The sequence below is a fragment of the Homo sapiens genome, chromosome 2 (genome assembly GCF_000001405.40).
Source record: "Homo sapiens chromosome 2, GRCh38.p14 Primary Assembly".
NCBI lineage: Eukaryota > Metazoa > Chordata > Mammalia > Primates > Hominidae > Homo > Homo sapiens.
This window is the reverse complement of record NC_000002.12, coordinates 161,053,131-161,063,728: the sequence shown is the minus strand read 5'-3', so window position 1 is coordinate 161,063,728 and position 10,598 is coordinate 161,053,131. Positions and strand designations below refer to the sequence as shown.

General features: G+C 40.3%; 1 annotated feature.

Annotated features, from left to right (window-relative positions):
- Positions 3,413–3,582: an enhancer, noted in NCBI's record as "experimental_54429 CRE fragment used in MPRA reporter constructs". NCBI's record gives its function as "activates a minimal promoter by MPRAs in K562 erythroleukemia cells, with activity observed for both the introgressed and non-introgressed 2:161916743 variant alleles {active_cell/tissue: K562}" and the evidence as "EXISTENCE:reporter gene assay evidence [ECO:0000049][PMID:34662402]".

Sequence of the window (10,598 nt, the reverse complement as noted above, 5' to 3'; positions counted from 1 at the left end):
GTCTGTCTCAGAGGGAAAGTCAACAGCTTTCTGTCTGGCAGCCTTAAAGCTAGTAATGCTGAGAACAGGCAAGCCAAAGTGAAGGGAGATCATAGCAATTGTGATTTTTGCAGCCAGAATCAAAACATCAAAAGTGACAAGTAGAAAGGGCTGAAGGTGCGCCTCTTACATATTTGAAAATGTCAGCTTCTTGGGAAAATTCGAGATGATGTAAGAGCTCTGCTGCATTTGCCGGTTGAATGGCATATTCCTGTTGGAAGTTCTGGCTGCCTTGCTAAAAATGCAGTGCACTCTAGCAATCGGCCCTGTGCACAGATGTTACACAGCCTTTACATTAAGCAGATAATGCAGAAAATATTTTCCTTTGTATTGGCACAGCTGTTACCATCTTCAACTCAAAGACTGTGCAGCTCTTGATTAATAGGAGATTTGTCTTTTGTTTGGCTATGAAAGTTAGCTCTAAATGAGAGACTTGGCTGCTCTTTCGCTTGTGTAACACCACATGGTAAATGAGTGCAGAGCAAGGGAGGTCCAGACTTCTGGGGCTGGCTTGTACAATCAGTCTCCCATTGACCAAGAAACTCTGCAACAGCCAAGCCCCCTATATGAGAACATTAAGTGGCCCTAAAGAAATTGCTCAACTAGAGGGGTTCTTATTAGAAAATTAAGGAAGAAAAAGGACAATATGACAAATTACGATATACTCTCATAACATTGAATTTAGCAGTCCCAGCCTTTTTTCATTGCCCAGCATCCTAGGTCAATTAGAATTCAGTGATTCTTGGATTCAGTTAGTGAATTGTTATAATTTGACTCTGAGATAATAAACAGGTAATTATTTCTCTTCTGTACTCCCCTCTCCCCACCCCAAATCCTCCAAAACATTTAAGCTAACTGGGGTGTTTTGCTATGGTGGTTTGTTGGAATTCTTTCTCCTCCACATCCAAAATAAACCATCATGTTTTTACTTGTTTTTCTGAGAAAGCAACACAGATGTTACGTTAAAAAATGTGAGCTTTAGCTTGTTATTGTGTATAAGCATGAAAATGGCTGTCTTATACATTGTAGCAAGTGTAAGCTGTCCTATCTCATGCTGAAAGGAAGCAACTTACCAGTAATGCTGGTGCCAGATTAAGATTCTCAGTGCATCACAAATGAATTACCATGTCTGTTATTTTAAAGGAGAAAAGAAAATGGCAAAAAAAAAAAAAAAAAAAAAAACCCACAAGAAACAAACAAAACCAACCAAAGCCAAGAAATATAAGAAGGGGGACATTGGGCCAGACTTTGCTAAAAGGTACATAACTCACTTTAGATTATCAGCTGGATAGATTATCCTGTTTCATTTCTAAAACAGATTTTGCAAGTGAGTAGTGAACAAGGAATCGTTGATTGCTCTTTTGGCTGTTTGAGTTCTTATGGCCCAGAGATGAGAATATTCAGATAACAGGTCTTTCATATTTTGTGTGTGTTCCACAAAACCACATGTGAAGAGAAACATTTTAATATATTGATTTGTCATAATAAGTGCTCAATAAATGTGTTATTGAAACAATGAATTAAAGGGAATCTTAGGGAACTCTACTACATATAGTGTGTGAAGTGCATCACAGATAATAAATACAATAAATAGGGTCTGGGAGGTGGATAGAGATGGTTTCTGCTGGGGAAAAGGGTGGAAAACAGTGGATGTCTTCTTCCAGCTGCAAGTCCTTGAAATATGAGCCGTAGCTTCCTCTTCCCCACAAGTTTCACTTTAATTCCTAGATAAAATAAGAGAAAAACAGATACGTGTTGAGGGCTGAGTTACAGAGGTCTTGTATGTTCAAGATCTGTGTCTTTTTCAAACATTCCCCGTATTTATCCTGACCATCGGCTTGCATCAATAAGCCAGAGATAAGCTTTGCAAGAAGTGGAAAGGAGAATTTATCAGGGAACAGAGATGGTGGAATATCAGAGAGACATTGTATTAGTGAGGGTTCTCTAGAGGGACAGAACTAATAAGATAGATGTATATATGAGAGGGAGTTTATTAAGGAGAATTGACTCACACGATCACAAGGTGAAGTCACACAATAGGCCATCTGCAAGTTGAGGAGCAAGGAAGCCAGTGGTTGATCAATCCAAATCCCAAAACCTTAAAAGTAGGGAAGCTGACAGTGCAGCCTTCAGTCTGTGGCCAAAGGTCCAAGAGCCCCTGGCAAACACTGGTCCAAGTCCAAGAGTCCAAAAGCTGAAGAACTTGGAGTCTGATGACTGAGGGCAGGAAGCATCCAGCATGGGAGAAAGATGAAGGCCGGAAGACACAGCAAATCTGGTCCTTCCATGTTCTCTGGTCTGCTTTATTCTGGCTGCTCTGGCAGCTGATTAGATGATGCCCTCCCAGAATGAAGGTGGGTCTCCTTCTAGTCCACTGACTCCAATGTTAATCTCCTTTGCAATACCCTCACAGACACAATGAGGAACAATACTTTGCATCCTTCAATCCAATCAAGTTGACACTCAATATTAACTATTACAGACACCCTTGGAATAGTCCAGAGGCTTTAATTGTAATCCTTTCTTGGAGATTACTCTGACCATATCTGTTCATGATGCTCTTCTATTAGCAAAGAAGAAGAGCCAGTGCTTTGTGATAAAGGCCCACCTGGGGCCAGTGTGTCAAAATTAGAGTAGAGGAGGTTTGAGTCAACAGGTGTTTTCCATTATTATAATTCGGCTCTCACCTGCACTCAGGATTAGCAAGACCTGCTTCAGGCATTCACAGCTGAGAGGAAAATGGAACATCTGGGTTGCAATTTTTCTTAGGTCTACATTTCAGAGTGATATTTTGTGTCAGTTTCCTTGAAATGGAAATAAAGTTTTGGTTCAGGGCATGTCTGTGTAGCTATTTGTATTTCACAGGAATGTGGGCTTTCTTACAAGGAACTAAAGAGTTTTAGAAATTCTCAGGTCTTGTTTATGAGGTTGTTAAGCCATCTGTGACATTATATGCATTTTCCACAAGGATTTCAAGAAAAGGAGATACGAGTGTGTTCTGCCCCATCGTATAACTCATTGTTGGGTCAACATAGGACTTAAATTCTTGTTAGTTTTCTAGATAAAAGTGGAGAGTGAGAGGAGGCTTAGAATGTTTAGTGTAATTGTTGTTCATTGGTTTTGTGCAGGAGATAGGGACTTCTGTGGATGCTTATGAAGAGTACTGAAGCACTGAGTAGAAATGGGATACAGTTCCTAGATGATTGTAAATATATATTTTTGTCTCTAAGTGAATTCCAAGGCCTGAAAGTGACATGATTTACTTTACTACAATAGAGCTGTCCTTAGTGAAACTCATGAGAACACTACGTTTTATCCTCAAGGATCAAGAGAGTGGACAGTAGAATTTCTCCCCTGCATCCACACCACTGACATTGTGCTTATTTGTCAAGGCCAGATCCTAAAATCTGAACATGCCATTGAGGCATGTGTGTCATGGCCACAGATACGTGTTGAGGGCTGAGTTACAGAGGTCTTGTATGTTCAAGACCTGTATCTTTTTCAAACATTCCCCGTATTTATCCTGACCATGTGTTTGCATCAATAATCCAGTTTGCAGCACCCTTCTAATAGCCTATTCTCTAAATATTTTAGGATTTTAGCCTGATGCTAACTTCCTGCCTTAGAAGAGGAGAAAGGGGAAAAGAATAGAAGGGGAAAATTTGAATTCTCTTAAATTTTCTAAGGATAATGAGGTTATGATTTCATGAAGATACAGTGTTTCTCTGGGGGCATCAGTCAGGCTAGACAATTGTTCTTCCTACTAAATGGAACCAGATATTCATAGGGGCATAAGGATGCTTTCCAATTTCATGAGTTCTACAGCTGGCATACAAAGACTATGGTTTCTCTAGAATCTAGAGATTCTCCTCCAAGAGGAGTCTGAGGTAATGCTGGAATTATAAAGCTCTGAAGTTAGAAGTCTAGAAGTTACAAGCTTCTAGGTCAATTTCACTAATAAAAATCTAGAACACAAACAGGACTGTCTCTGCCTGGAGCTCTCCCTCCTTGATGAACCAGTGCCTGATCCCTGGCCTCTGTCTGCTCTGGTGTCAGGCCATTCTAACTTGGCTTGACTACAAGGCAACTTCTTGTTCCACGCTGTGTCCAACCTTCTCTGACCTATGCCAAACCCCTGTGCCACTCATTGCCAACACTGACTATGTCTGTCCCCATTGCCTGCCTCAGATGAGGCTAGCAGTTTGCTTTTCCAGAACACACTCATATTTCTTTTGCTATAGTACAAACACATGTTGTTCAATGTTAAGAAAGATGATATTTGAAAATCAAACCCTCACATCTGATGGACTAGGCAGCATTCCTTGTTCTAGATGGGAACAATAAGCTTAGCTGACCAGGTGAGGATGCAAGGCCTGTGGCAGTAGCCTGGCGCTGGAGGTTGGGATGGTAGATGGAGTCAGGGTGGGTCACAGTTCAGTGCCAGCTGGAGCCCAGGTCATAATAGCCTCATGGAAAATTCCTTGGAGTTAGGGTTTTATCTGGAGACTGATGTAGTAGCTGCTTCTTTATTCCTGGTCACCCAAGTGTTCTCTGATTTATCCTTAATACCTAAAAGAGCCACCAAGATAAGTGTTGTTCCCTGGGAGAAGGATTCCTAGAGCTAAGTGTTCTTGGTTTCTGTGTCTAAACCAGAGTCAAGTCTGCCCTTGGCATGTTGAACGTCTGTGGAATCTGATTCCTCTTAGGAGAATGCACACCCTGACCCCTTCCTGAAGGAGTCAGTAACATTTTTTAAGCCTTTACTATGATCTAGGCACTCTTAAGTATTTTCTATAGGCCTAGAATTCTATGACATTCTGTATATATTGTTGCCATTTTACTGTTATGGAAATTGAGGCTCATCAAGGTAAAGTAACTCCCCCAAAGTCACATAATCAATATGAAGCAGAGCTTGGCTTGAACCTAGGTCTGCTGGACTGCAAAGTCTGCAACTACTCCATGGAACAGAAAGAGAAATTCCTGCAACGGGATCATGATTAGATAGATTATTTATACCATAAAGGACCTTTTTTTCATATATACACACAGAATGCCTCTAAATAGTGAAATCTATTAGTAAGTTTCAAATGTCTGATTTTGAAAAGATCAAGGTATGCTACTTTACAGCAAAGTGCATTATTGCATAAAGCAAGCTACAACTTGCAACTTTTGTATGTCTGTTTTCTTGGCAATGTTCAATAATGTTGTATTCTTCACTTAATTACTTCCTGTTTTTTTTAGGTTGCTTTATCCTTAATTTCTCCACATTATCATATTAATTACGCTTTTCAAATGTGATAATACCTTTTCATATATTCTCAAGGAAATGCTCTTTTTACCACTGGGCTATTTTGCTCTAGAAACAGAGATAACAAGCTGGGCACAGTGGTTCACGCCTGTAATCCCAGCACTTTGGGAGGCTGAGGCAGGTGAATTACCTGAGGTTAGGAGTTTGAGACCAGCCTAACCAACATGGAGAAACCTTGTTTCTATTAAAAATACAAAATCAGCTGGGAGTGGTGGTGCATGCCTGTAATTCCAGCTACTCGGGAGGCAGAGACAGGAGAATCGCTTGAACCCAGGATGCGGAGGTTGTGGTGAGCCGAGATCGCACCATTGCACTCCAGCCTGGGCAACAAGAGTGAAACTCCATCTCAAAAAAAAAAAAAAAACCCCACAAAAATAGAGATAACACAACTAATCTTCAATTCAAGAAGAGGCTTTGGATACTGGGAAGAAAAAGCAGCAACTCCAAAATAATGTTACCACCAACTCTTGCCCTCCTCCTCTACTTCACAGCAGCCTCCTCTGCTGGTGGCATTGCTGGCAAGAGCTTCTGCTGGCCCCCGCCCCACTGTGAAGCCTAATTGTGTTAAGCCCATTAATGATCCATTTGTTTCTTCTCCTCCTGCTTCCACAAAAGGAAATGTATTATTCATGGATAACCTTTCTCCCCTCTCCCTTTGTGTTTTAGCAATACTCTAGACCATCTGAATTTCATATTGTTGCACAGACTGTGATATTGGCTGTTTCAGTGTCTCTGTTGTGAAATTACTCCATTGTCATCAGACATTAACAGGGTTCAAGTAAACATTTGGGTAGCAGCTCCTTGTTTCACTTAGAACTCCAGCCATCCTTCCTAATGGCTCTCAACTGGCCCACTTCAGCAGAAAGTTGGTCGAATCTCCATTCTATTCTCTTGGGGAGACGCCACTTGCTTCTTGTGTATCTAACAAATATCCTACCAGCTACTGAAACCTCCTCTGGAGGTACAGGAGTTGTGATCACATTTTTTCTCCATGTTATCTTTGATCATCAACACCAACAAAATAAAGCTGTGTCCTAAGAGCTATAGCTCTATCTTTAATTGGTTGGGCCTATTCTACAGCACTTCAGGACCAGGGTCTTTGGGGGATAGGACTCTGTGCTTTTGTATACCAATAAAACCCTGTTTAAAGTGGTTGCTCTGACAAACATATGAAAAGAGCTCAACATCACTGATCATTAGAGAAATGCAAATCAAAACTATAGTGAGATACCATCTCATGCCAGTGGAACGGAAATTATTAAAAAGTCAAGAAACAGATGCTGGTGAGACTGTGAAGTAATAGGAATGCTTTCACACTGTTGGTGGGAGTTTAAATTAGTTCAACCATTGTGAAAGACAGTGTGGCAATTCCTCAAGGATCTAGAACCAGAAATACCATTTGACCCAGCAATCCCATTATTGGGTATATACCCAAAGGAATATAAATCATTCTATTATAAAGATACATGGACACATATGTTCATTGCAGTACTATTCACAATAGCAAAGACATGGAATCAACCCAAATGCCCATCAGTGATAGACTGGATAAAGAAAATGTGTTACTTATTCACCATGGAATACTATGCAGCCACAAAAAGGAATGAGATCATGTCTTTTGCAGAAACATGGATGTTAGAAGCAGATAATCGGTGTCACCAAGAAAAGTCAGCATGGAGACAAAGGATCTCTCAGCAAGGCAACCTTTACTTTCTGCAGAAAGGGTGCTGCTTGCCAGCAGTCTTGCCACGAGAGCACACTGAACAAAGAGGATAAAAATATTTATATCTGACACATCCGTACCCTACTGCTGTGTCCTGATTCCATTGGCTGGAATTGGACCTCACAGTCTAGGCTGCTCCCGATTGGCTAAAGGTTTAAAACTTTTCCTAAAGAGATAATGGCAGAGAAGAACAAAGGAAAGGAGGAAGTTTCTTATGAAAAGACTTAGAAAAGTAATAACATTCCCAAATAAGGAAGGGGCATAGGCTGCGAGCTGGGACATGCTTGTGAGCACATCTAGCACAGATATCTTGGTTAAAGTACAAGGTCATAGAATGTACTATGTGCCTGTGAGCATGTCTAGCATAAAGTTAGTCTTTAAAAGAAACTATTATTTCTAACACTTATGACTTATTCTTTAACAAGAAGAGAAACAGTAAAAAGGAACTTTTACTTTCTGCAAAGAAGAAGCTGGAAGCCATTATCCTCAGCAAACTAATACAGGGACAGAACACCAAAACCGCACATTCTCACTTATAAGCAGGAGCTGAACAATGAGAACGCATAGACACAGGGAGGGGAAAAATACACACTGGGGCCTGTTGTAGGGGCTGGGGGGAGAGGAAGAGTATTACAATAAATAGCTAATTCATGCAGGGCTTAATACCTAGGTGATGGGTTGATAGGTGCAGCAAGCCACCATGGCACATGTTTACCTCTGTAACAAACCTGCACGTCCTGCACTTGTATCCTGGAACTTAAAAGAAAAAATGGTTGCTCTGTCTTCTGCCCAGCTGTATATGGCTTTTTGAATTTAAATGAATAAAAATGAAAATTTCAGTTACGCTAACCACAGTTCCTGTGCTCCATAGCCACATGTGACTAGTGACTGCTGTATTAGACAACACAGTAGAATGTCCATCATCTCAGAAAGTTCTAATGGCCAGCAGTGGTCTAGTAATGCTAAGAGCTAAAGCTTTTTGTGTACCTCTTATGTGCTGGGCACTGTTTGCAGCATTCTACATGTATGAATTCTCTTATTCCTTATAGCAAACCTAGGAGTTAGATACTATTTGTCTGATTTATAGATGAGCAGACACAGGCACAGAGAGCTTATTTACATCATAAAACCACTTGCATCACATCCTTAATATGTGACACAGACAAGACAGTCACAGGCAATCTGTCTCCAGAGCCCAAGCTCTGCACCTCCTGGCTCTCACACTGGATACATTAGAAAGAGATGGAGCCCCAGACTAACTATGATTTAAATAAATGCTTCTATTTTCAAAGAATGAAAGACTGTTAATCTAGTAATCATTGCTTCCCTGCCCTTCCTGGCCCTGACTCTGCTCTGAGCAGATGGTTGACCTTCCATTTTATAAAAAGGAAAGAGGCAAAACACCTTTTTCCTTCAACCATTTTCTTTGCTACTTGACTACTGCCCTGTTTCTTCAATTTTTGTCTCCTCTCTTGTATCCTCCTAAAAACGGCTAATACCTTTACCGGCCTGTCTGATTTCATCCTTTCCCACCTCACTCAGAAACAAGCTGCCATTGCTTACTTTCTCTCTAATCAATGTTTTCCCTCGGTAAGATTCTTTATCTTTGCAGAAAACACGTGTGGTACTTTTCTTCCCTATGCCTTTGTTTAAATATGCCAGCCCAGCTTCTAGTTCTCCCTTCAGAGTTAACAGGTATCATCTGTTTAGGAGGCCCTTCAGCCCCATCACCTCCCCTTTCCTCAGACCAGGCCACCAGGCTAATAAATGCTCTTGTTCAGTGCTTCCGTAGCCTGCTGGTTACCTGGCTTCAGGTTGAACAATGTAGTTACATTTCTGTTTTCTCCTCTAAATTGTATACTGCTTGAGAGTAAGGATCAAGTTCTAATCATCTCTGGATCTTGCCAGCCGCACAATGTAGGCACTAAATAAATGTTGATTGGAATATAACCATTTATTCTGAAAAGAAAACCGCACCAAACACCTAAACATGTCATCTTTCTTTTGACTCTGTTTCCTCCTCTGATATTGGCTTCTGGCTTTTATCCTCAGACTTCTTGAAACATTTGTATTTACTACCAATTACTCTTTTTGTCTTTTTGAGACAGCTGTTGCCCAGGCTGGAGTGCAGTGGCACGATCTCAGCTTACTGCAACCTCTGCCTCCCGGGAGTGATTCTCCCACCTCAGCCTCCTGAGTAGCTGGTATTACAGGCATGTGCCACCACGCCTGGCTAATTTTTTTATTTTTAGTAGAGATGGGGTTTCACCTTGTTGGCCAGGCTGGTCTCGAAATCCTGACCTCAAATTATCCTCCCACCTCAGCTTCCCAAAGTGCTGGGATTACAGGTGTGAGCCACCACACCCAGCCTACTATGAATTACTCTTTATCTCCTGGCAATTTGGTCTCTGCATGCAACGCGGCCTTTGTGTATAAGCACTGTGTGTGTGTAAAAACATTGAAACTTCCTTAATAAATGAAGAGATGTCCTTTTTGTACATCTGGATTTGTGAAAGGCATAATTTCTTGAGATCTTAGCTGCTTGGGCAACTGCTTGTGCAGTGTGACCCATTACAGTTTTTGATTGATCTAGTTGAAAGACTTCATCACAGTTGTCATCACAGTATTTCAGATGACTGTAGTTATAAACCTGAGTGCACACAATTACTAACCAAGTTACCATGTGTTTATATGTTTCCCTTTTTATACATTTCCTTTTTTATTCTATTTCTTTATGCATATCATTTGCTTATAACTGTTATACCTGTGTAACTGTTGTCAGTATATGAGAGCATTTGCTTGCAACAATATGTATGTTATTATTGCCTATATTATTATGTGAAGTAGCCTATGAAATGTTCTGTTGTGATATGTTTCTCAAATAAACCCCCCTTTTAAAGTGTGAAATGTCTTTTAAAGAACTTTTAACATTTTTTTTTCCCAAATTACATTTCTGGGACTTTAGGGATTTTGATCTTTCAGGATTTCATCATTTAGGATTATGTTGTACAAGACTGTGTCAACATTATAATCAGCTCCCCCTTGATAATACATTTTTGGAATTTAAACTACTTGATATTAGTGACCCCACCTTGAAGTTCTCCTCTCTCTTAAATTCTGTTCACTTCAGCATTTGGATTCCTGTTTCTTCTTTGGTCAAATCACTTCTTGCTCTTGATGTTCTTGGCTAGCTTCTGTTCTTCTACCATTCATTAATTATGATGGACATTCCTTAAGCTTTAGGAATTCTTCCCCTTTCTTTGTGATGGTATAAATTTCTGTGACTTCAATTATTTTCTCCATGGGAATGATTCTTACGTTCATGTCCTTCTTAGTATCTGTATCCTGCTGGTTCTTGAAACTTAACATTTGTAAACTAGGTTAATCATTTTTGCTGTTAAACGTGTCCATTCTCCTGACTTTCCAGATTCTTCCAAAGTCATCACTATTTTGCATTACTATATTTCAGTCTCAAACTCATCTCTGATGTCTCCTATGTCTTCAATCCCATATCTCCAATAAGCCATT